The sequence below is a fragment of the Homo sapiens genome, chromosome 7 (assembly GCF_000001405.40).
Source record: "Homo sapiens chromosome 7, GRCh38.p14 Primary Assembly".
Lineage (NCBI taxonomy): Eukaryota > Metazoa > Chordata > Mammalia > Primates > Hominidae > Homo > Homo sapiens.
The window spans coordinates 23,705,151-23,731,723 of NC_000007.14; the positions used below are offsets into that span (position 1 = coordinate 23,705,151).

The 26,573-nt window shown below is 36.6% G+C and overlaps 1 protein-coding gene and 1 pseudogene across 9 annotated transcripts in view, besides 2 other annotated features; one reads left to right on the forward strand and one right to left on the reverse strand.

Moving 5' to 3' along the window:
- The first annotated feature begins 4,931 nt into the window (after positions 1 to 4,931).
- STK31 (serine/threonine kinase 31) overlaps positions 4,932 to 26,573 on the forward strand; it is a 122,432-nt gene continuing 100,790 nt past the window's right edge. For 3 of the 9 annotated variants that reach the window (NM_031414.5, NM_001260505.2, XM_006715758.5), the window contains exons 1-6: positions 5,069 to 5,185; positions 6,949 to 6,995; positions 7,084 to 7,136; positions 12,331 to 12,429; positions 22,091 to 22,165; positions 23,941 to 24,099. In NM_031414.5, coding sequence (NP_113602.2) covers positions 5,136 to 5,185; positions 6,949 to 6,995; positions 7,084 to 7,136; positions 12,331 to 12,429; positions 22,091 to 22,165; positions 23,941 to 24,099 — 483 coding nt within the window. In that variant the 5' untranslated portion in view covers positions 5,069 to 5,135. Of the gene's footprint in view, positions 5,621 to 6,948; positions 6,996 to 7,083; positions 7,137 to 12,330; positions 12,430 to 22,090; positions 22,166 to 23,940; positions 24,100 to 26,573 lie in introns of all 9 variants that reach the window. The other 6 variants (XM_011515452.4, XM_011515449.4, NR_048542.2 and 3 more) reach the window with 6 other exon arrangements.
- PCMTD1P3 (protein-L-isoaspartate (D-aspartate) O-methyltransferase domain containing 1 pseudogene 3) lies at positions 15,960 to 16,659 on the reverse strand (annotated as a pseudogene).
- Positions 18,386 to 18,913: an enhancer, noted in NCBI's record as "NANOG hESC enhancer chr7:23763155-23763682 (GRCh37/hg19 assembly coordinates)". NCBI's record gives its function as "activates a minimal SCP1, AML or CMV promoter by ChIP-STARR-seq in primed H9 embryonic stem cells {active_cell/tissue: H9 hESC(primed)}" and the evidence as "EXISTENCE:reporter gene assay evidence [ECO:0000049][PMID:30033119]".
- Positions 18,914 to 19,441: an enhancer, noted in NCBI's record as "OCT4-NANOG hESC enhancer chr7:23763683-23764210 (GRCh37/hg19 assembly coordinates)". NCBI's record gives its function as "activates a minimal SCP1, AML or CMV promoter by ChIP-STARR-seq in primed H9 embryonic stem cells {active_cell/tissue: H9 hESC(primed)}" and the evidence as "EXISTENCE:reporter gene assay evidence [ECO:0000049][PMID:30033119]".

The window sequence follows — 26,573 nt, forward strand, 5'->3', positions numbered from 1 at the left end:
AATGAAAAACCATAGTTCCCCATCCAGTTTCCAGATCTAAAGCTCATGATGCAAGGGAAGGCCCAGATCCCCTCGAGGAAGGATCATCCAATATATTTGGTAAATATCCCCCTAATCCTTTCTCCAAGGGGCAGTCACGTACCATCATTTACCAAGGTAACTGTGCAATGGATAAAAAGGAATAGTCAGATTTTTTTTTTCAACCAATGACTGTTGGATACAGTGCCTGACCTGACATGGATTCCAGAAGACCCAAAATACCATTGTGGTTCACTGGTTAGAGTAGGGAAGCTCAGTGACAAATGGCGTCCTGGCCAAAGTTAATCTCACAGAAGGTAAAATGGGTCTGGTCCCACTCTTTACTTCTACTCTCCCTATATATACATAATTGAGATAGACATACTTTGAGGCTGACAGAGCCCTTGGACCTACACTGATGGCTCTTGCTTCTTGTCCCAGGGCTTCTTAGATGCTGTAGGACAGACTTAATGACCTAGATGCTTCCCTTGACCAATGGGTCATGTCGACATAAAGTCAGTAAGGATATAGAAGACTTGAACAACAGTATTAACCAACTTCACCTAATTGACATTTATAGAACACACTAACCAAGAACAGCAGAAAACACATTCTTTTTTTTTTTTAGTGCAAATGGAACATTTACTAAGATTGACCATATTTTAGGCCATAAAACAAGGCTCAATATTCTTAAGATGATTTAGATCTTAAAGTATATCCCCTGACCACAGTGGAATTAAATTATAAATCTATAACAAAGATACATGGAAAAATCTCAAATGTTTGAAAATTATATAACACATGTAAATGATCCATGGGCCAAAGAAAAAAAGTCAAAATGGGAATAAAAGCACTTGTAATTGAAAGGCAATGAAAACACAACATCATATTTGTGGGATGCAGCTAAAGCAGTATGTAGAGGAAAATTTATAGCACCAAAATGCCTTCATCAGTAATGAAGAAAAATCTCAAATCAGCCCTTACCTTAAGTAACTAGAAAAATAAGAGAAAATGAAACTATAATAGATAGAAAAGGGAAAATAAGACCAGAGTATAAATTGAAATAGAAAACAAAAGCAAGAGAGAAAATCAATAAAACCAATAAAATTTATAAACCTCTAGCCTGACTAATACGAGAGAGAGGGAGAGAAAGAGAGAGATAGAGAGAGAAGGCACAAATTATCCATGTTAGGAATGAGAGTGGTGACATCACTATAGACTCTACAGACATTAAAAGGATACTAAGGGAATACTATAAATAACTATGCCAATTACTTTGACAACTCAGATGAAATGGACAAATTCCTTAAAAAAACACTGTGTTGTAAGTCCCCTTTGTGGGATATTTAAAGATCATTCCAGTTTGGCCATGGAAATTCCAGAGAGGCATATAAAATTAAAGACGTCATTATACTCATTTGTTCTAGAAAAGGGAGGCATGACATGCCACATGGGGGCTACATATAAGGTTTGAACGCCAAGGGAGCATGCTCGAGCTTAGAGAGAGTGAGGACCCATGGGCAAGTGCCTTTACTGGGGGTCAGAGCAGAGTACACAAGAAAACCTGGGAAGGGATTTCATTGGTGCTTTTTGAATGTCATTAGGTCACAGTCGGGACGTGGCAGGAAATAGCCTATCACCCTGGTACACCTGGTCACTTGGGCAGGGTGGTTATAGCCTATTTGTGGGGATATTGAGGCACCAGGAAAATATAAAGTTAAAAAAATTACAATATAGACACAACTATCAAGCTCATTAAATACTAAATGGGTAACATGATTAGCCCTATATCTATTAAAGAAATTGAATTTGTAGTTAAAAACCTTACCACAAAGAAAATTCTAGATGGCTAGAATGTGCACTAGAGGAAATGATGCCTAGATGGCTAGATGGCCGCACAGTGAATTTCACCAAGCCTTAAAGGAACAAAGAATATCAATTCTATAAGACTCTTCCAGAAAACTGAAGTTGGGAATTCTTTGCAACTTATTCTATATGGCCAGCATCACTCTGATATCAAAACCAGACAAAGCCATTATGAGAAGAGAAAATTTCAGACCAATATTCCTCTTGAACATAGATGCAAAAATTCTTAACAATTTTAGCAAACCTAATAAGACAATATATAAAAAGGATAATACATCATGACCAAGTGAATTTTATCCAAGAAATGTAAGGTTGGTATAACATTTGAAAATTAATTGATGTAATTCATCATATTAATAAACTAAAAAAGAACCACATGATCATTTCAATAGATATGAAAAGAAGTATTTGACAAAATTCAACACACATTCATGATAAAAATTTTCAGCAAACTCAGGATAGAAAGTAACTTCCTTAATCTATTAAAGGTATCTACTATAAACCCACAGCAAACATCATACTTAATGGTGAAAGGAAAATGCTTTCCTCTTAAGAATAGGAACATGGCAAGGGTGTCTGCTCTCAGCACTTATTTTCAGCATTACACTGAAGGATCTAGCCACTGCAATACGGCAAGATAAAAATAAATAAAAGACTTCCAGATTGTAAAGGAGAAAGTAAAAACAGCCTTTATTTGCATAAGACATGATCATCTATGTAGATAATCCTGTTAAATTTATTTTAAAAACTATCACTAGAAATAGGCTAGACTCAGTGTCTAATACCGGCACTTTGGGAGACTGAGGCAGGAGGCTTGCTTAAGCCCGGGAGCTCAAGGCTGCAATGACCTGTGATAGCACCGCAGCTCTCTCATCTGGGTGACAGAGCGAGACCCTGTCTTACACACACACACCCACCCACAAAAAAACTATCACAGAAATAATACACAATATACTAAAGTTATATTTCTATATACTAGCAACAAAACAAACAAGTTGAAATTAAGAAAATAATACAATTTACAACGGCATGAAAAATGAAATTCTTAGGGATAAATCAGACAAAAGTAAAACTTTTATAATGAAAAGCATAAAACATCACTCAGCGAGATAAAATAAGACCTAAATAAATATACTGTGCTCATGGATCAGAAGACTCAATATAGCTAAGATGTCCATTCTCCTCAAATTGGTGTATACATTCAATGTGATCCCAATCAAAATCACAGCAGGCTCTGTGTGTGTGTGTGTGTGTGTGTGTGTGTGTGTAGATGCTGACAAATTGCTTCTACGATCGCATGAAATAAAACTACCGTAATTAAGACAGTGTGGTATTAGTCTAAAGAAAGCAAATAGATCAGTGTAACAGAACAGAGAATCCAGAAATAGACTTGCGTATGTATGGTTAATTGATCTCTGACAATAGTGCAAAGACAATTCAATAGACAAATGACAGTGTTTTAAACAAATGATGCTGGAAAAATTAGATATCCATATGCAATAAAATAAAATTTGATTGTTTCACATGTTATAAAAATAAACTCAAAAAGGACTATATATCAAAATGTAAAGCTTGAACATGTAAAATTTCTGGAAGAAAATATAGAAGAAAACTTTTGTGAACCAGGCTAGTCGGAGATTCCTTACATACAACACAAAAGCATGAACCATAAGACAAAACCGATAAATTAGACTTTATTGAAATTAAAAACTTTTGTTCTTTGAAGTACCCTTTTTAGAAAACAAAAAGACAGCTGTAGACTGGGAGAAAATATTTTCAAACCTGAAGGAGTTTTATCCACAGTATATAAAGAACTGTCAAAACTCAATAATAAATTCAGTTAGAAAACAGGAAAAAGCTTGGACACCTCATTTAGGAAGATCTGGATGGAAAATAAACATAAGAAAAGTTTCTCAACATTTTTAGTTAGTAGAGAAATAAATGCAAATTAAAATCACAAGGAGATACCACTTTAAACATTTATACATGAATGTTTAAACTTAAAAACACAAACCATATCAAATGATGGTGAGGATATAGAGCAACTAGAACTCTGAAACCCGCTGGTGGGAATATAAAATAGTACAACTGTGTAAAACTATGCGGCAATTTTTTAAGCACATATACAATTCTATGACTTGGCCATTCCACTCCTAGGTACTAACCCATGAGATATGAAAACATATGTCCATACAAAGACTTGCACACAATAGCAGCTTTATTTGAAACAATTCAAAACTGGAAGCAGTCCAAACACCTATTAAAAGGTAGATAAACAAATTGTGTTATATTCATGCAGTGGAATAGTAACAGCAATAAAACCCAACAAACTCTTGACACATAGGACGAAATTTATCAATCAAAATAATTATGCTATTGGAAAGAAGCTAGATTAAATGTTCATACTGTATGATTCTATTATCGTAAAATTCTAGAAAATGCAAACTAATATATGGTGACAGAAAGCAGAACGGGAGCTGGGAGGAGTCAGGTATTACAACCGGGCATGAGGAAACTTTGAGGTGATGGAAAAGTTTATCTTAATTGTGGAGGTGATTTCAACAGTGTATACATATGTTCACCCTTAACAAATTATGCACTTTTGATATCTGCAGTTTATTGTACTTTAACCTTCAAGCTGTTAAAAATTAACCGGAGATAATTTTCAATTGTTGTGTAAGGTTTGCCACAAAGTGTAATATCTGCAAAGAAGCAGACAACTAATTTTTTCTTCTTAAGATTGTGGAAAAAGTTGTAATACTACAGAGAGCTGTGGAATCTAAGGATTAGTTGACCAACGCTTGTAAAGCTACCAATCTGAAAAACACATTTTCAGTTACCAAAGTTATTTTCTCTCTTCCATCGTGTAAATAGAATGTCGGGGTTCTTCTAATTTGGGTGTTTCTAAAATTTAAATCCACGTGAACAGATTAGGAAAGACCACGAAATCCTACGTCACCTCTAAAGTCACAGCTTGAAGCCTTGCGAAAGGAACTGGCCCTAGACCCCACCCCGGCCTATAAATCACCAGGGCGCAGCCTCAGTGCCTGGGGGTCGGCAGCAGCCAGCGTCAGGCGGCTCCCGCACGCTTCTTCCTAGGCGGCAGGCCGTGGCTGCCACGTGACTCCCGCTAACACCGGATGATGGCGCAGCGCTGTGCACGCAGGCGCAGTGTGGGGCCCTTGCGGTCGAAGCTCACGCGGTAAGCCGCTGCACGTGTGCTACGGCGGGCGGAGGGCCGAAAGTCCAGTATGTGGGTCCAGGGTCACTCTTCTAGAGCTTCCGCAACGGAAAGTGTGAGGTCAGTAGTAGTTTTTGTGGTACGTGCAGTGGTGGCCGCTTCAAGGACTATTTTCGTCGCTGCTTGCGTTTTAAGTCTCCAATCCTGGGACGAGGCCCATTTCAGGGTTTTCTGTCACCTTCTAGCCGCCCGCCACCCCAGAGGGGTGCCAGATGCCCCAGTTTTTGAGTGCATGCAGGCAGGCGAAAGTGGCTCGAAAAGACCTCCGGCCTGAATGATCTCCATGAAGACGCGGTCACGCAGCCTCCACACTCTCTTCCCCTTCTCGAAAATTCTGTGCCATTTAAGTTTCAAAATCCCTTATAAAATAAGTGTCAGAGAGCTACGTGTACCCGTTTCTTCCAAATTTTCATCACGAAGTGGAGATTTGGACGTACTATTTTGTGATCTCTGTTTGCAGAAAGTGGGTACGGCATCAGTGCCTTCATAATCAGGGCAAGTCATTTTAAAATAAGATTTAAAAACTACTCTAGAAGTAGCTTCTTGGAGTGTGTGGAGAGATTTCCAAAGTAATTTTAACTTTTACTGAATTTAAGCCTTAATGCTTTCCGTGGGAATATATAGTCTCCCTAAAAGTTATTACAGCTTTTCAGTCAGTTGAATTTAAAAACTGCTTTTTGACCAGTAGAAAAGAACCCTTGCTTTGGAGACATTTTCATGCCACTTACGAAAAATTTTTTTAAAAAATTAAGTTGTGACAAAGTAATCCATTTTTAAAATTTTATTTTTCTGTGATGAGGAGTTAATGTTTTCCTTTTCATAATGAGAGAGCATTTGAAACTTTAGTATAGTGGTGTTCCTAGACAACTTTTAAAGCTCTTAAAAAATTGCGGTGGCTTAGGCCTGTAATCCCGGCACTTTGAGAGGCCGAGGTGGGCAAATCACAAGGTCAGGAGTTCAAGACCAGCCTGGCCAACATGGTGAAACCCCGTCTCTACTAAAAATACAAAAATTAGCTGGACGTGGTGTCACGCGCCGGTAATCTCAGCTACTTGGGAGGGTGAGGCAGGAGAATTGCTTGAACCCGGGGGGTGGAGGTTGCAGTGAGCTAAGATCTCCAGCCTGAGCGACAGAGCAAGACTTCGTTTGGGGGGAAAAAAAAAAAAACCCATAAAAAATCTGTGTTTTAATTTTCCTTCAACACTTATGAATGGAAAGTGCAGTATTTTAGTATATTACAGATAAAATTACATAGTGTACATTTATTTTGGAATATTTTTGCATTTGATAAAGTATAATATTATGTAATTAAAATTATTTTTGAAGTAATAGGCAAAATTTTAGGTATTTTTGCAGTCTTTAATCCCACGGAATCTTCAAAAATAGTAACCACCGTGCCTTTTACATAAAATAGACTACCAGTTTAAAGCATTTGTTCTATTACTTGTAATGTTTCTCTTTGTTTACATTGTGGAAGTCCTTTTTATGGGAGGATATTTTCTAAAAAAAGAATATGTACATTGTTTCAAAGTATTGATTTATGTAAGTGATCAAAATGTATATGAGTTCAGTATAAGTTTGTAAAAGTTTGGCTAGAGATAATTTTAAGGATAGAGATTATATATGATAAAATTGCATCTACTACAAAATACTCAAAAGAATTAGTTAGTGAAGGAAATATTGAGCTCATTTTTAATATAGAGTTTGAATTTTGATAACTGCATTTAGGACAAAACATTTGTAAGAATTGAACATGATGTAGTTTAGTCTTCATTCATTATTAATGGTGGATTATTGTAATCTAATTTAAGGTATTGTTCTAGTTTTTCAGGAATTGTTCAAATGGATGAAGATACACATTACGATAAAGGTACTGACACTAAAAATTATTTTGGGGTGTAAGAGCTAGATGATACTGATTAATTTCTAATTTTCCTTGTATTGTGATTTGATTTTAGTGGAAGATGTGGTTGGAAGTCACATAGAAGATGCAGTAACATTTTGGGCCCAGGTAAATAGCAAACTGGTTGATATCCCCCCTCACCTCCCCCAATCCAGTTCCTCCCCAACAAAAACAAAAATAAAACCCAGGAATAAATACATTTGTCATTCTCATTGCCTAATATTTATTGAATTATTTATCACCAGGCATTATTAGGAGACAAATGTTGACAGCTGTGATGTTACTTGACTCATTATGAGTCAAGTGTTATGCCCATAATACACCAAGTTTGAAAAAAGAAAATTGGCAAGATTGTGATTTCAGAATTCCACTCAATTCTAGGCTGCTTTTGCTGGATTCTGAGAGCCTGTTGTATTTGTGAAGTTATAGCCCCATCTAGGGGTCTTTTATAAGATTGTTTCTTGAAGGAGGATAAGTTAAAAATCTCGGTCGTTTTTTCTAATGGCTTAAATTTGAGATGTGGTATTTTTCTCATTATAGAATTGGAAGCATGAATGAAACATTTCTGATTTTCTGTTGGGAGGGTGTCAGTTAGGTAAGGTTACTCAGTTTTAAATACAAAGCAAGCACTGAAGGGCTGTGTTCCACAATTTAAGAAGGTAAATTCCTCTGATGCACAGAACGACCTGCTAATTTTTGGTTTTGTAAACTATACATGATACGGAAGGGAAAGAAATTACGTTTCTCTATACTCCCTACAGCATGGGAACTCCTTTTGGTGGGGGGTGAGGTGAACTCGTAATGTGGGAAATAAGGAGAATATATGAGAAGAAAGTTCTAGAAGAATATGATTAACCCAGAGTTCTTAAATATATAGTCATGCATCACTTAATGACTGGGATACATACAGAGAAATGCATCATTAGGCAACTGCGTCGCTGTATGAACATCATAGAATGTACTTAGAGAAACCTGGATGATATAGCCTACCACATACCTAGGCCATGTGGTGTACCTGTACCTCATGTTACTGTACTGAATGCTGCAGACAATTGTAACACAATATTAAGTCTTTATGTATCTAAACATGAAGGTACAGTAAAAACATATTATAAAAGATTAAAAAGTGGTACACCTGTATAGGGCACTCACCATGAATGGAGCTTGCAGGATTAGAAATTGCTTTGGGTGAGTCATTGAGTGAGTAGTGAGGAATGTGAAGTCCTGGGACATTACTGTACACTACTGTATACTTTATAAATACCATACACTTAGGCTACACTAAATTTATAAAAATATTTTTCTTCAATAAACCTTAGCTTACTGTAACTTTTAATAAACTTTTGACTCATTTGTAGTAACACAGCTTAAAACAAACATTGTAGAGCTGTGCAAAAATATTCTTTACGTCCTTATTCTAAAGCTTTCTTCTCTTTTTAAACTTTTAATTTTTTTTTACTTTAAAAACTTTTTGGTTAAAAACGAAGACAAGATCTTCAATATCACTGTCTTTCACTTCCGCTTCTTGTCCTACTAGAAGGTCTTCAGGGTCAGTAATGTGCATGGAGCTGTCATCTTCTGTAATAAAAATGCCCTTTTGGAATACCTTCAGAAGGACTTGAGGCGGCTGTACAGTTAACTTTTTTAAATAAGTAGGAGTACACTAAAATAAGAAAAATTATAGTAAAAAAAAATATATATATACACACACACCAGTGACATAGTTATTTTCATTACCAAGTATTATGTACTGTACATAATTGTATGTGCTGTGCTTTTGTGAGACTGGGGCACGGTAGGTTTACACCAGCATCACCACAAATATGTGAGTAATGCATTGTTCTATGATGTTACAATGGCTAGGACTACACTAGGCAATAGGAATTTTTCAGCTTCATTATAATCTTACGGGACTACTGTAGTGTGTGTGGTTCATTCTTTGACCACAATGTCACTATGTGGGGCATGGCTGCATGTAAAAAAAAATTGTAGAAGGGTGATGTTATAGAAAACTTGGGGCAAATTCGTGTGTCTGCTTATGCACATATATTTGGCAAATTTGTTTCTGCTTATGCATATTCTCTAAAGGTTGCTCACACGTTCTGGTTCCATGCCCATTGTCTCTGTATTAGTGACAACTGCATCACTCTCAACAGTGTCCCAGGGTGGATGATAAATTATATTTAAGCTTATTATACAGAAACATCATTTATCAGTGTAAAAAGATTTTCTAGACTAGTGCTGTCTAGTAGAAATATATGAGCCATGTAAGTAATTTTAAAACATTTTTGGCAGCCACATTGAAGAAACTAAAAATAGCAGGTGACATTTTAATAAGTACATTTTATTTAACTCAATATATCCAAAATATTGTTTCAAAATATAATTAGCATAAAAATGTGAACAGGATAGTTTATATTTCCTTTTTAATATTGTCTTTGAAATCCAGTGTGTATATTAGACTTACAGCATATCTCCTTAGACTAGCCATATTTCAAGTGGGTATTGGCTATTGTATTCACTAGTGCAGCTCTAGACTTTGATTTCAGTTTACTTTATTTGTGAATATGTTGATTGAATTTGGAGCAAATTCAAGAGTCAGCAGTTTTTTTTTTGTAAAGGATCAGATGATGAGTATTTTACCATTTTTAGGCCATACAGTTTGTTTTGCAGCTATTCAATTCTGCCAACATAGTGCAAAGCAGCCATAGACATAATGTGAATGAGTGTGTGTAGCTGTGATGCAGTAAACTTTATTTACTAAAACAGGCGGCTGTAATTTGCCAACCTCTGAGTTAAACCATGAAGTTGAGGCTCTTGTAGAAGAACGTTTAAAACAGGAAACATGCGCATGAAAAGATTAAACATTAAAACTACTAATGGTATATAAATGAATGTAGTGGTTATTTCAATAAGCAAATTGGCAAATTTGGTTGGGGTTATGGTGGGATATAGGCATAGAGAAGACTAGAGATTTGGAAATACGCGTAGGCAGATTAGGATGAAAATCTGCTCACGTGTATTCTCCATTTTTTTTTGCCCTGTGGGCTTCTGCCTTATAAACCACTTATAAGCAAACACTTCAGATTGGATGAGTGGCAGCTGAAGGAATCTGACGTATTTGACTCCACCTGTTTCTTTGAAAGAACAAGCTTCTGGTCAGGCATGGTGGCTCATGCCTGTAATCCCAACACTTTGGGAGACCTATGTGAGAGGATCGCCTGAGCCCAGGAGTTTGAGACCAGCCTTGGCAACAGTAAGACCTTGTCGCTACAAAAAAAAAAAAAAAAATTAGCCAGGCATGGTGGTGCATGCTTGTGTTCCCAGCTATGTGGGAGGCTGAGGGTGGGAAGATTGCCTGGGCCCAGGAGATTGAGACTGCAGTGAGCTGAGATTGCACCAAACAAACAAACAAACAAAGAGCTCCTATTTGTTTTAGTCTGTATAGTGAAAAAATATAGTTATATGGAATATTTTGATTCCAGGGGTTTGTTCACAAAGGCTGCTTCTCTTGTTTCTCAGGGTCAGTTTAAATTCAGTTCCTGTTCTATGCTGAGACTTTGATATTCATCATGATGTTCTTTGAACTGCTCTTTCAGAGTTTTTTTTCAGTCATCACGGATAATCATGTTCTTTCTAGCATTATTGAATATTTTGTTGGTATATTTCTTTAGAACATATATATATATTTAACATTTTATTTTGAAGAAACTTTGACTTACAGGAATGTTGCAAAATTAGTACAGAGGCTAGAATGTGGCTCTGTATACTCTTCACCCAGCTTCCTTTAATGCTAATGTGTTATATAACCACAGTACAGTGATCAAAGCCAGGGAATTAACATTAGTACAATGCTATTAACTAAACTACAGCCCTTATTTAAATTTTAGCAGTTTTTTGTCTTTTTGTGTTCCAGGATCCAATACAGAATCCCAAATTGTATTTAGTTGTGTATCCTTGGTTTCCTTTAACCTCTGAATGTTCCTCAGTTTTTCCTTGTATTTCAAGACTTTTGACACTTCTGATGAATATTAGTTATTTTGTAGAGTATCTTTTAATTTGGGTTTGTTTGATGATTTCTTATGAATAGATTAGCAAGAGTTCCACAGAAGTGATATTGTAGTCCTCTCAGTATATCATATTGGGGTTTCATGATGTGATATACCTTCTTATTGATGATAACCTTGATTCACTTGGGTAAGGTGGCAACTTCCAGGTTTTTTCGCTGTAAAGTTACTCTTTTCTTTTGTAATTAATTAATGTTTTAGGAGACTTATTGTGGCTGTCTAATCCAGTTTCTGTTCAACTTTTCACCCACGAATTTTATTGTTTATTGCTCTAGTGCTTGCCTAATGATGATTTTCTATTCCCCTCATTCCTTCCACATTTATTAATTGGAATTCTTCTGTAAGGAAGAGCTGTCTCTTCTCTGCCATTTATTTATTCAATTATTTATATTAATATAAACTCAAGGATATTTATTCCGTGGGTTATAATCCTATGCTATCATAATTTATTTTGTTGTTTAAATTATTCAGCCTTGGCCATTGGGACAAAGTTCACCAAAGAATACAGATTGGTACTTGTCCTTAAACGTCTCCTATTCTTTTTTTGAGCACTTTTTTTTTTTTTTTTTTCAAGACAGGGTCTCCGTCACCAAGGCTAGAGTGCAGTAGTGTGCTCATGGCTCATTGCAGTCTCGAACTTCTGGGCTCAAGCAATCCTCCCACCTCATCTTCCTGTGTAGTTGGAACTATAGGTGCACACTACCATGCCCGGCTAATCTTTTGTATTATTTTTGTAGAGACAGGATTTCACCACATTGCCAAGCTAGTCTCAAACTCCTGGGCTCAAAAATGATCCTCCCACCTCGGCCCTCCAAAGTGATGGGATTACAGGTGTGAGCCATCGCAACCTGCTTTTTTTTTTTTTTTTTTTTTTTTTTTTAGCATTTCTTTACTTTCTGGCACCATCAAATGTCCCAGGATCATCTTTTATTTCCCAGTTTGAGCTCTGCAATCAAATCAATCTTTAAGGAATCCTTTCCATATGATTTAATTATATTTGGTATCTTGTTTGAATTCTACCTAATTTGAACACATTGGGAAGTAAACTTTTTCTATGGCCTAGTCTCATTTCTTATAAATAACTCATTTAAATTATGAAAAAATACAGGCATAAGAAGTTGATTTAATTTCTAATGGCCTAAAATCTTTTAAGTTTATCATGCTTAGAACCCTCAAGCGTGTAACACTGTAAAATAATATTTTACTGTATCTTATACTATATCTAATCTTTCTAGAGTATCAATAGAAATAAGGATATCATGAAGATTGGTTGCTCACTGTCTGAAGTTTGCCCCCAGGCCAGTTCAGTTTTGGGGAATCTTGACCCAAACAAGGTGAGCCATATTCTTGAATATAATTATTTCATTCCTCCTGTCAGCTTTCCTGTGTCTTAGATATTTAGTTTTTGGAGTTCCTGGTATATTTGAAAAGAAGAGGCTGATTTTTGGAATTTGTATAAACTACTGTTATGGTATATTTATTAATTCAAAAATACTTATGGACTGAATATTACTCAGTCTTGAAATTTGACGTAAGCTACAACATGGATGAATCTTCAGGACATTAGCTAAATAAGCCAGTCACAAGAGGACAAATACTGTTATGGTTCTACTTGTATGAAGTACTTAGAGTAGTCAAAATCATAGAGACAGAAAAAGTGAGTGATGGTTATCAGGGACTGGGGGAAGATTGAGGATGAGGAGTTATTGATTAATGGGTGTAGAGTTTCAGTTTTACAACATGAAAAGAGCTATGGAGATGGATGATGAATGGTGGCGAAGGTTGCAGAACAGTATGAATGTACTTAATGCCACTGAACTGTATACTTAACAATGGTCAAGATAGTCAATTTTATGTTATGTATAGTTTACTACAGTTAAAAATAGGAAAAGTAGAATTAAAAGCTACACTATTCTAGCCAAAAAAACAAAAGTGAAGAAAACGTATGTACTGTCTGCCATGTACCTGGCACTGTATTAAGCATTAAGTAAGTATGCAGTGGTGAACAAACTAGATTCCTTGCATTTGACTTTGATTCACAAAAAATTTGTAAGATGCATCTTTATGCAGAGCAATTTGGCTTTTTTCTTTTTTACTGAGTTATAACTTGTATACAGTAAGGTATATATCTCTTAAGATCCTAAGTATATAGCTTGGTGAGTTTTTACGTGTGTATGTATCCATGTAACCACCATCCAGATCAACATATGGTTCTATCATTTCAGAAAATTCCTTCGGGCCCCTTCTCAGTCAATTCTTAGTCAGTAGTTTCTCCATCAGAGGTATAACCCTCATTTTGATACTATCACCATAGATTCGTATGTCTGTTCTTAAATCATGGAGTATGTAGTTTATTGTATGTATCTGGCTTCTTTTGTTCAACATAATTTCTGAGATTCATTTATATTGTTGTGTGTATTAGTGTATTGGTAGTCTGTTCTTTTTTAAGCTATTTAACATTCATTGTATAAATATAACACAATTTATCGATCTGTTCTCCTTTGATGGGCATTTGGATTTTTTGCAGTTTTTAACTACTCTGAATGAAACTGCCGTGAAATCCTTATATAAGTCTTCTGCTGGATGTATTGACTCATTTCTTTTGCACATATATCTAGAGTAGAATTGCTAAATTGTAGGGTAGACATGTTTCTGCCAAAGTAGATACTGCCAAACAGCTTTGCAAAAGTGTTGAACCAATTTACATTCTTATCAGCAATTTATGAGAGTTATAGTTCCTCGATATCCTCACCAGCCCCCTGCTTTGCTAGTGTACTGAGGTTGTGTTTTAATATTTTTATTAGCCCTTTGGAAGGGGTCTTGTGAAGTACCTATTCACATCTTTTCCCCATTTTTAAATTAGGTTATTTGTCTTGATTGATTTGTAGGCATTCTGTATGTTTTTTTCACTTTAATTTTCATTTTTGTTTCTACCTCTTAAAGTCAATGATAAAGTCACAACTGTAAAATGAATGCATTTAAAAAATAAAAGATATATTTCAATGACAAAAAGTATGCAATGATCATGAAAATCTACTGTACACTTTGCCAAGGCCAAAGAATGAAAGACAATATGAAAAAGCCAATCTTCAAATATATCCTCAACAAAAACTCCCTCCTAAATAGTAAAATTATCATTTAAGAATATTTGTCTTTACACATCTAAACAGAAGCTCTAACCAAAAAAAAAGTGGGGGAAAGGGCAGATGATAACTCTCCACAAGTTTTCCAGATATAAACATGTGGTCACCAGGAATTCAAGATTAAACTTCTAAAGCAACATTTAACTCAAAATAAAGTGAACATTTCTGACAGGTGACAACAGTAGTATGAAACTGATTTTTCCTTTCCTAAATAGAAATGAGATGGGGCATTTCAGTAATCATCTAAGAATAACTGTAGAAATACTCCCAATTCTACCACCCCACCCACTGGTATAAAACAGATACCTTCCATGAAAGTATCTTTCACATTACTGAAATATCCTCACTTACTTGGGACAATTTCATGCTTAGATGAGTATAAACACTTGTTTTTAGGTGTGTGGAATTATTGGAGCTGAGATTTTTGAAACAATATCTGAATCTTAGCAGAGATATAATAATACTTTCACTATACATTGATTGGGCTTCCTTAACCAAATCTGAGCAACTACTGTAATAACAATGCTGGTGGTAGTCCATGATACTCTCAAATTTTTTCCCTTTAAGAAATATATAATCCATGTAATACTAGTAAATATGTTACATTGTACACCTTCTTAACAAAGAATGTCTGTTTTCAGGCCTTACTAGGAAAACAAACAAACAATGGCAGTTACTGCCTGTTTTTATCACTGATAAGCTACAATAAAGCTCAAATGATGGATGGTTTACGTGTGTGATATTAAGTACAAAATGAAAGCCATTATAATTTTACCAAAAGAAACACGAAAAATATGGGAAGAAGTGAAATGAACATGGCATGGGTCCCAAAGATTACGATATGTTTCAGAACAGGATTTTGAAAACAAACAATTTCTGTGAATATTTCTTATACTAGAAAGATCCAAAGCAAATCTAGGCAAGCTTAGCCCTACCTTGTCAAAGATAAATACTCAGATAAGTTGGAAGTTCCGTTTGCTAAAGTGCATCTGGGATCATATCTACCCTGCTACTTAGAGACAGCCAGGAAGGTGGCCATCACTCATGCTCTTTCACTCTTTCTGTGTCTTATCAAGAGTCACACGTAACAATTTTTTTTTCAAACCAAATGCTTTATATAGTGAACTACAGGAAAAACAATTCTAAATACACTTTTAAAATGCTAGAGAGTTAAGATAACCTCATTAAAGAAAAAATACTGAAAATGTAAAGGGTCCATACAAACTAAGAGCTGTATTAAGTGTATACTTTCTATTTTAATAATTCACTTGGCTGTGCTCTTAAAATGAGAGAAGCAGATATTTTACCCATGTCTTCTGGCAAGAGATTCAAAAGCAGAAGTAGCAGGACTGTAAAATTTCATAAAATTTGTGGGATTTTTTAAAGCTAAATTATTCAATATCTTGTACAGTTTTGTACCCATATATTACCCCGGAATATATGTACAGCATCCCAGCAACAGTGACTGCAACAAAAGTAAGGTAAATAGGTCTACAAAGCATTTGATTTCCTTATTAGAGAAAGTTTTTATAGAGGAAATGCAAACAACTGCAATTCAGATCACATTATATAAGCTTGATGATTATTTAAACCTTATATAAAATTAAATCTAACCCTTACCACTACAAATCTGTAAGGAATCAGAAAAGGATTTATAGTACACAAGTCTTGATTACTGTTTCATTCCACTTTGATATCACTCTGAGCTAAAACAGCATTCTTCCAAGATTTAAAGAAAAATAGATTTTATAAAAGGGATTCTTTTACATTATTATTGTTACTGACAGAAACAAGTTTTGCTTTTTTCCACTATAATTCGCTCTGATGAAAGAAATAATTCTCTCTCTTAACTCCTAACAAACGCTACATTTTCAAGACTAAGGGAATTACTGGTGGCATTCTTTCTCCTTGATCTAAACTATTTGTCTCTAAAATATGTCAAGTAAGCTTTTAAAGATTCAGGAAGGGGCAGCGTTGTGATTTTTTTCTCAGTAAATTTTGAGGTGGCTCCTCTGGCTTCATTGCTTCACTGTGATCTTTTTCTTCCTCTTCTTTGTTATCTTCCATTTTTTCATCCTCCTCTCTGTCCAGAGGCTGAGGAATAAGCTGATTACCCACAAATATGTATGTGTTAGTTCTCTGTTTAACTCTCTTTTTTTTTTTCCTTTTGGGTGGAGCCCTTTGCGGAATCCCCTTGGCCTGCATCTCATCATTTATGAAATTTCTAAGTGTGCGTCGAATGTAAATACAAGCCAAGCCCTGTGGATTCCTGACAGCACAGGGAGGGAGTCCCACAGAATCTGGTTTACCATTATCATTCTTACTTGGCTGCACAAGTGGAGCAAATGACACAATAAGGATATTTTTCCTTTCCCAAGTGTTTTGTCCAGTTCTGCGTTAACTGATCCTCTACAGGCATGATCCTCTACATTCATTTGATCTTCAATCAGTGATACCCTTTCTTCCACTTGATCAAATCAGCTACTGAAGCTTGTGCATGCGTCACGTAGTTCTCGTGCCATGGTTCTCAGCTCCATCAGGTCATTAAGGACTTCTCTACACTGTTTATTCTAGTTAGCCATTCGTCTAATTTTTTTCAAGGTTTTTAGCTTCTTTGCAGTGGGTTTGAACATCCTCCTTTAGCTTGGAGAAGTTTGTTATTACCAATCGTCTGAAGCCTTCTTCTCTCAACTCATCAAAGTCATTCTCCATCCAGCTTTGTTCCGTTGCTGGCGAGGAGCTGCGTTCTTTTGGAGAAGAGGCGCTCTGATTTTTAGAATTTTCGGCTTTTCTGCTTTGGTCTCTCCCCATCTTTGTGGTTTTATCTACTTTTTGTCTTTGATGATGGTGACGTACAGATGGGGTTTTGGTGTGGATGTCCTTTCTGTTTGTTAGTTTTCCTTCTAACAGTCAGGACCTTCACGTCCTCAGCTGCAGGTCTGTTGGAGTTTGCTGGAGGTCCACTCCAGACCCTGTTTGCCTGGGTATCACCAGCGGAGGCTGCAGAACAGCAAATATTGCGGAATGGCAGATGTTGCTGCCTGATCGTTCTTCTGGAAGCTTCGTCTCAGAGGGGCACCCGGCTGTATGAGGTGTCAGTCTGCCCCTACTGGGGGGTGCCTCCCAGTTAGGCTACTCGGGGGTCAGGGACCCACTTGAGGATACAGTCTGTCTGTTCTCAGATCTCAAAGTCTATGCTGGGAGAACCACTACTCTCTTCAAAGCTGTCAGACAGGGACGTTTAAGTCTGCAGAAGTTTCTGCTGCCTTTTGTTCAGCTATGCCCTGCCTCCAGAGGTGGAGTCTACAGAGGCAGGCAGGCCTCCTTGAGCTGTGGTGGGCCCCACCCAGTTCAAGCTTCCCGGTGGCTTTGTTTACCTACTCAAGCCTCAGCAGTGGCGGACGCCCCTCCCCCAGCCTCGCCGCCGCCTTGCAGTTCATCTGAGACTGCTGTGCTAGCAGTGAGCGAGGCTCCGTGGGCATGGGACCCTCGGAGCCAGGCGTGGGATATAATCTCCTCGTGTGCTGTTGGCTAAGGCTATTGGAAAAGTGCAGTATTAGGGTGAGAGTGTCCCGAATTTCCCGGTACCATCTGTCATGGCTTCCCTTTGCTAGGAAAGGGAATTCTCTGACCCCTTGCACTTCCTGGGTGAGGCGATACCTGCCCTGCTCCGTGGGCTGCACCCACTGTCTGACAAGCCCCAGTGAGATGAACCCGGTACCTCAGTTGGAAATGCAGAAATCACCCGTCTTCTGCGTCGCTCACACTGGGAGCTTCAGACTGGAGCTGTTCCTATTCGGCCATCTTGGAACCTCTCTCTCCTCTTTTCTTTATAAATCTTGATTTTACTTTTATTTGCTGAAACAGTCTAATGCCAATTCTCCTTTCTATATTAATGGAGAATGAGCATGCAGATAAGTGTCTCTATATGATTCCTTGACAGATTTCTTTCAGAGACTATGTCTATAAAAATTAGCCCATCTGAGACCCATCATTGGAGCCAACTCATTCCTCAATTTTTAAAATTTTTTTTATGGGGGGATTACAGGTGTGAGCCACTGTGCCTGACCTATGACTGTGTTTAATATTGTTATAAATTAAGACATACTCCTTTTCTTCTATTGAATATAAAATTAATTACCTTATCAAAAATTTAAACAAGTGTCAGTAATTAAGTGATTAATCAGCTACTTCTGATTGTTCATAAATGGATTATACTTTGTCAGTTTTCCTTAGTGATCTAAATGGTTCTCTCCCTCTGCCACCATGTAGAAGGGTCATAGGCTATGAATAGTGGAGTTGTGGGAGGAGAAGATTGGGCCCAGGCACAATGAGAGTGAATATATAGTTTTCACTATGTCATGAGAACAGATAAGTCTATCTGGGATAGATTTACATGTTTTGGTGGTTGTATTACACTAACAGAGCCACGAACTTCAGATTCTTCACTTTGTTGAGTACTGTTATACCTAGGCGAGTTAGAGAAACGCCACACTCTGAGACGAATTAAGAGTCCTTTATTTAAGCTGGCGGCCAAAGAGACGGCTAATGCTCAAAATTCTCTCGGCCCGGAGGAAGGGGCTTGATTAACTTTCATACCTTGGTTTAGGAAGGGGAGGGGAACTCAAATGCAGTAATTCTACAGAAGTAAAAACATGCAAGAATCAAAAGAAGCAAATGGTTACAGAGAGATAAACAATTTAAAAGACAAATGGTTACAAAAAGCAAGGTACCAGGTGCAGGGCTCTAAATCCTTCATTATAATTAGATATAAATGCTATGCCGGACAGGAACTCAAGGCTTTATGTTGTTATCTCTTTGAAAAAAATCCTGGGAACTTCATACATTGTTTGTGCCAGTACCTTATCAGTTAATTGGGCTCCTTTGAAATGCTGAGGATCTGCTTACACAGGTCAACTCCTTGCGGAAGGAGGTTGGGTAAGGAGCCCTTAGTGTCTTGTAAATTAAGGGGTCAATTGGAGTTTGTCCGGCTTTCCCAGCTAGAGAGAGTCTTACTTGAGAAGCAAGGCTAGGTGATTAAAGAGACAAACAGGACAAAATTTAAAGTAGCGAGTTAGAGTAAAAACAAGGTTAGGCATTACAGTACCAGCTCTATTCTTGGACACAAGTGTTCCCAGCCCTGCCTCACCTGGTTTGCAATAAACCATTGCATATCTGTCGCTTACCTTATACCAAATTATTAATCATATTGTGATGTTATTACAAAGCCTTAATTAAAGATGATGCAGTCTTTTGCAGGGATTGAAATTGGTTAGGACTGTTGATTGTCAGCTATTTTTGCTACTTACCCCTGTCTTCTTACCAGGGTTGAGAGAGAGTACCGTACTATTACTGCTCTCTCTTGCCCTTTAGTTGTTTAATGTTAGCTGAAGAAACCGGAGTTAATTATGAATTGAATACACTTATCCTTTGTAGCTTTTGAATTGTTATTTATTTATTTGTTTGTCTGAATTTATGTGTTCTTTATTGTTTTGGTGAATAGGTTTGGTGTTTAGGTTTCATAAAATAAATCTGTGGATTTGTCCTAGTTCAGAGTGATACATTGAAATTAATTTTATAATCCATAACTTAAAGCAGTATTCTTCAGCCATTTTTCTCATTATTCCCTCCTAAGGAGCATTTTTAGACCTGTTTTCTCCCTAATGGCCTAATGGGCCTTCTCCCCTTCAGATATTTTAATACTACAGATATACAGTATATAATAACTATGTTATCAGTAGGGTTGAACTTTGGAGGGCTACAGACCATTGTAGTGTTTAAGATTTCCAACTCTCCATAAGGACCACTTTTATTCCCCTTAGGGATATTGCCCCAGTTGAGAATGTATGATTTAAAGCTGTTAAGGCCAGGCATGGGGGCTCATGCCCGTAATCCCAGCACTTTGGGAGGCCGAGGCAGGAGGATTGGTTGAGGCCAGGAGTTCAAAACCAGTCTTGGGCAACATAGTGAGACCCTGTTTCTACAAAAAAAAAAAAAAAAAAAAAAAAAGCTAGGTATGGTATGTGTGCCTGTAACCCCAGATATTTGGGAGGCTGAAGCGGGAGGATTGTGTGAGCCCAGAAGTTTGAGGCTACAGTGAGCTATGATCATGCCACTGCACTCCAGCCTGGACAACAGAGTAAAACCTTATCTCAAAAAAAGTAGTTATCAGCCTGCAGTGATTTTTGTATCCTTCCCAATCCAATCATGGCTTACTTCATTTTTGTTACTGTAAAGAAATACCTGAGACTGGGTAATTTATAAAGAAAAGAGGTTTATTTGGCTCATGGTTCTGTAGGCTGTACAAAAAGCATAACTCCAACATAGTATAGTTGAGAGTTAGACTTAAGTGGCATGTACTTCGCATGTTTATGTTTTAAAAAAATTATACCAATTATGTCTTCAGACATTAAAATAGTATGATTTTAAGTGTTTGATGCCTGTGTCTTCTAAAAAAAGTCTTTTTGCTTTTTATACAACTCTAACAAGGGACTCAGGGTGCTTCCACAAATATTAGAAGGTGAAGAGGAGCCAGTGTCTGTAGATTACATGGTGAGAGAGGAAGCAAAGGGAGGAAGAGGTGCCAGGCTCTTTTCAACAACCAGTTCTCTTAGGAACTATGAGTGAAAACTCATTCACTTCCACGAGAATGGCACCAAGCCGTTTTTAGGGATCTGCCTCTACTATCCAATCACCTCCTACCAGGCCCCCCTCCAACATTGGGAATCAGATTTTAACATGAGATTTGGTGGATGATATCCAAATGATATCCATCTAAATCATAGACACCTTCAGGAGACATTTGACAGTGTTTGGAGACGTTTTTGCTTGTCACAACTGGAAGTGGTGCTACTGGCATCTAGTGTCTAGAGGCCAGAAGGGATGTTGGTAAATATCTTACAATGCACAGGACAGAGGACAGCCCCACTCTGCCACTCAACACAGACTCATCTGGTCCCAAGTGCCAGTAGTGCTAAGGCTACTTTGAAGTTCGAGAAAATGAAAGCCAGCCTGGGCAACATGGTGAGACCTTGCCTCTACAAAAAAAAAAAAAAAAAAAAAAAAAAAATACAAAACTTAGCCCAGGCGTGGTGGTGCGTGCCCATGTTCCCAGCTACCGTGGGGACTGAGGTGGGAGGATCACTTGAGCTTGGAGAGGTTGAGTCAGCAGAGAGCCATGACTGCTGCACTGCACTCCAGGCCTGGCGACAGAATGAGACCCTGTCTCAAAAAAAAAAAAAGAAAAGAAAATGATTGAAAGTACATAAATTTTCTCTTTATTCTTTTATTAAACATCATTCAATTGAGATATAAAATAAAGTACAGTATTAAAGATATTATCTAATTTAGTTTTATCTACTTAATAGGACTAATGTCCTTATACGTAAAGTAAAAAGTATGAAATCTTTCTTGCTTGGTAGGAAATATGAATTCCACTATAGTTGAGAGTTAGACTTACGTGGCATGTACTTGCCATGTTTATGTTAAAAAAAATTGTACCAATTATCGCCTCAGATATTATAATAGTGTGATTTTAAGTGTTTGATGCTTGTGCCTTAAAAAATTTTTTTTTTTGCTTTTTATACCCCTCCCTCCTCATTTTGGAGATGCAGAATAGCATAATGAACTCTGAAGTCAGAAGTTTGAATCTTGGTTCTGCAGTTTACTAGTTTATGTCTTTGGATACATAGTGGCATAAACAAAGTACCTGCCTGATAGGATTGTGAGAATTAAATGAGTTATATATAAAGTACTTATTGACATATAGGAAGAGCTTAAATGCTAACCTTTATTCTGATCTGTTCACCATGCTTTAAATGCCAAGTAATTTTGCTTTCTTTTCTCTTTGTAGATTTATGGTGGATTATTTTCTGAAGATCAGTGTTGGTACAGATGCAAAGTACTGAAAATCATCAGCGTTGAAAAGGCAGGAAATTAAGTGTTCAGTTTTTTTTTGCTTTAAGAAATATTTATTGTGGTTCAAAAATTTGATGCTTATTTAGCCCTTCATTGCTTATTCGTAGTACTGATACCTGGTTCAGTGATTAAAACACAGAAGAAATTAATTGCTAAAAAACATGTTGTTTTATAATCACCTCAGATTATTCAAGAATAGATTATATAATATGTAGGTTATTTTTGGTGACTAGTTATTTTTACCTCAGTTCTTTTTTTTTTTTTTTTTTTTTTTTGAGATGGAGTCTTTCTGTGTCGCCCAGGCTGGAGTGCAGTGGTACGATCTTGGCTCACTGCAAACTCTGCCTCCTAGGTTCAAGCTATTCTCCTGCCTCAGCCTCCCAAGTAGCTGGGATTACAGGCGCCCACCAACACACTGGCTAATTTTTGTATTTTTAGTAGAGACGGGGTTTCACCATGTTTGTCAGGCTGGTCGAACTTCTGACCTCAGGTGATCCGTCCGCCTCAGCCTCCGAAAGTGCTGGGATTACAGGAGTGAGCCACTGTGCCCAGCCTGCCTCAGATCTTAATAATTATATTTGGTTCTTGAGTAACTTTTAAATGTTCATTTTATTAAGCTTTATAAGTAGGAGAAGAACATTTTGATTGATTCTTCTGAAGTTAGGTATATCTTTTATTTAGTTGATGTGAATATTGTTAATAATAATGATTGGCTTGCCACTTTCTTATGCCTGGGTTAAATGTGGTGAGTTTTCTTTGTGTTAAGCTTTTTTTTTTTTTTTTTTTTTTTTTTTTGACATTGTGAATTTGTGGAGGATTTTTAAGAGGATTTAGGGAGACAGAATTCTGAATAGCTGTTTGGTGACAGTTGCATATTGCAGGCTGGGTGAAAGCACCTCTGTAAGATTTCCTTTGGTGTTTTTTCTACACCTCCTTTCTGTACTTAAATTATAATATGTATGTTTTTACTGAACCAGGGAAAGTGGTTCAGGATAAAAGAGAAAAAGTTAAAAATATGTATGTTTCAGAAATATTTTCTTTGGTGTGATAAGATGCTAAGATGTGACAATTTGATTAATATTCTGAATAGCTTGGTTTAAAAAAATTTCATTTTTTGCTGTCATAGAAAATGGTTTATTTTAGTGGAATGGAACTTTCTAATTGACCTTTCTCCCATAATTTGACAACTGGAGATGATATTTTACATATGTTTTTCAGTTGGCTTTAATTTTTTAAATTAAAGGGCAGCATGATGTTTGACCTTGTAATAACTATTTTTCTTTTTTACTTTTTAAACAGATGTAGAGCTGGAGGTAAGGGTGGTGAATCTGATTAGTTTACATGGTCTACCTGGAGTGAGTTTAATTGTGTCAAAGGAAGTTTGATAACTTTGCCTTTCTTTTCAGATTTTATTCTTTCCAACTTGAAATTGAATTGAATGTTGATTGATTTTAACATTAGGAGAAACAGGAGAGGGCTGTAAGCTTCATAGGCTGATGTTTATTTAAAATATCAATTGTCTAAAAACAAAAAGCACCCTAATGAGAAATGGTACTGTTGGAATTTAACTAGTAACAAGTAAAGAAATCACTGTAATTTCATGGACTGTGGATTTTTTTTTTATTTTGAAGATATTAGAAATCTGTTTCTGAATGTATTTTGTCATTTTGAGGTAAGAATGCTATTTTGATATACAGGTCATTAACAGAGAGCAGCAAATTGGTGGTTTCTTTGGAAACATTTAATCTGGGGTCAGTATTCGTATTTGTCTCTTATTTTTTCCAGTGTCTGGTGAGGTACATTGACTATGGAAATACTGAAATTCTAAATCGATCTGATATAGTTGAAATTCCTTTGGAGCTGCAGTTTTCTAGTGTTGCCAAAAAGTATAAACTTTGGGGACTACACATTCCTTCTGATCAAGAAGTTACCCAGTTTGATCAGGCAAGTCACGTATTTTAAATATTTTTGCTAATGAAAGTAAAACTATGTGCTTGAAACAAAATGTAGGTATAGTTAAATCTTACTTTAATATAAAAGTCTGTATAAATTAGTGAAAAATAGGAATTATAATTAGAAAGCAATTATATATTTATGCTCATCTTTGCTAGGTAAACATTGAACAGATAAGAATGACATACACATATATAATATATGTAAATAGTTTCCTTCTGATGTAAATGTTTAAAAGGATAGTCTCTTTTTGTTTTTTTTTTTTTTTTTGAGACAGAGTCTGACTCTGTTGCCCAGGCTGGAGTGCAGTAGCGTGATCTCGGCTCACTGCAACCTCTGCCTCCCAGGTTCAAGCAATTCTTCTGCCTCAGCCTCCCGAATAGCTGGATTACAGGCCTGTGCCACCATGTCCAGCTAATTTTTGTATTTTTGGTAGAGTTGGGGTTTTACCATGTTGGCCAGGCTGGTCTCGAACTCCTGACCCCAGGTGATCCACCCACCTTGGCCTTCCAAAGTGCTGGGATTACAAGCATGAGCCACTGCGCCCAGCCAAGGATAGTCTCTTATATGATGGAGAAAATAATGAATACAGTTATTTCTATAATTGTTTTGGGAAAGTATTTATTAAATAAAAGTGATCTTTACCTAGTCCTGGCCATAAATACCACAAATTTGAAATTAATGGGGTTATAATTAATCAGATTGTATTATTTTGGCAGAGGCTCATACTGTTTGATGTAATAATTGGCAGTGGATGTTTTGCTTATGTGGATTCTAGTTTATATTACTTTCCATTGAATTTTGGGTTGGTAACCTAATTCTGGAAGACGTTCGATAATTTCAGGGGTAGTCTTACAGGAATTCTACCTCTTTTAAAATCTGTTATACAAAGATGATTCTTTTGGTAAATGGTAATGCTGGTGAGAGATATTACATTGGAAAGTAATCAGATTTGTAATTCTTATTTATAATAGCAGCTCAAGTAGCTCATGTGGAAAACAGTTTAATCATTGTAAGCATTATAAAGAAATTAATTAAAATTGCCTCTATTTTTCTTTGAGAATCTTGTAGGTGTGTTGGGTATAGTTTTGTCTGCTATGTAGTTACTTATAAAAAACATTTCTGTACATGAAACTCAGGCTTTCATAAACATGAAATATAGATATTATAAAATTACACCCCAAGTTTCTGGTTTAAAATCTAAAGTTTGTTACTTTCTTCTTTAATATAAATGCTTTGACCAAGGTTGGGGAGGCTTGTTTTGGATTTCTTGCATGCATAAAACTCTAAAATCTTGTTTACGGACCTTAGAATATTATCTGCTCTCACTTTGTTTTACATATAGGGAAATTGTAGTCTAGAATAATTAAATGACTTCAAGTCGTGAAGCTAACTAGGGAAGAGCTAGGCCTAGAACTCAAGTCTGTTGTTCTTTTCATAGTAAAATGCACAGATTTGTGTTGATTGAAACACACATGAATCAAGGGGGAAAAAGACATTAAAAAAAGTTAATTTTAGAACTGAATTAATAAACTGCAGCTGAGAATGTTTTTGTATGTTTCAAAGATTCTTTATATATGGTACTGTATATAAACATTTATATATATATATATATATATATTTTTTTTTTTTTTTTTTGGTTGGGGGTTGAAGTCTTGCTCTGTTGCCCAGGCTGGAGTGCAATGGCATGATCTCGGCTCACTGCAACCTCCGCCTCTTGGGTTCAAGCGATTCTCCTGCCTCAGTCTCCTGATAGCTGGAATTACAGGCACCCGCCACCACGCATGGCTAATTTTTGTATTTTTAGTAGAGGTGGGGTTTCACCATGTTGGCCAGGCTGGTCTTGAACTCCTGACTTCAAGAGATCCCCCTGTCTCTGCCTTCCAAAGTGCTGGGATTACAGGCATGAGCCACCCGGCTAAACATTTGTATTTGGATGCTTAGTTCAGTAAAAAGATCATTGATTAGAGTTAAGCTAATTGGCACACAATGTTTTCTGGAAAAAAATGAGCTATTCTTGAATAGCTCTGCTTAGAAAGTCCGTGTTTAGTTATTAATTCTCAGCCCAAAGCTCAACTCTAATCTTCTATATGAAGTCTTTGCTAATACCCACTTACCCGGTCCTCTGTGGTGTTTTAGTCACTCCGTATATAAAGCCTATAAAGTTGTAATTTTTTCCTCCCCTACAAGCTTAGTGAGTTTGGTAGAGATAAGTATTCACTTTTCTGTGCCTAATTTCCCTGCCAGGTAGGTGTTAGATGAGCATTAGTTTATCTAACATTTGAATAAATAGATGAACAGCAGGGATTCAGTAACAACACAAATACCTCCTTCCTTCCCCTTTTCCAGAAGGTGTCCTGGGCACTGAAATTCCTTCACATTTTTTTAACTAACACTTTCACGCTATGCTGCAGCACAGTCAGAATTGATGCTCAGAATGGTAGTTTGCTGAAGATCGAGAGAAT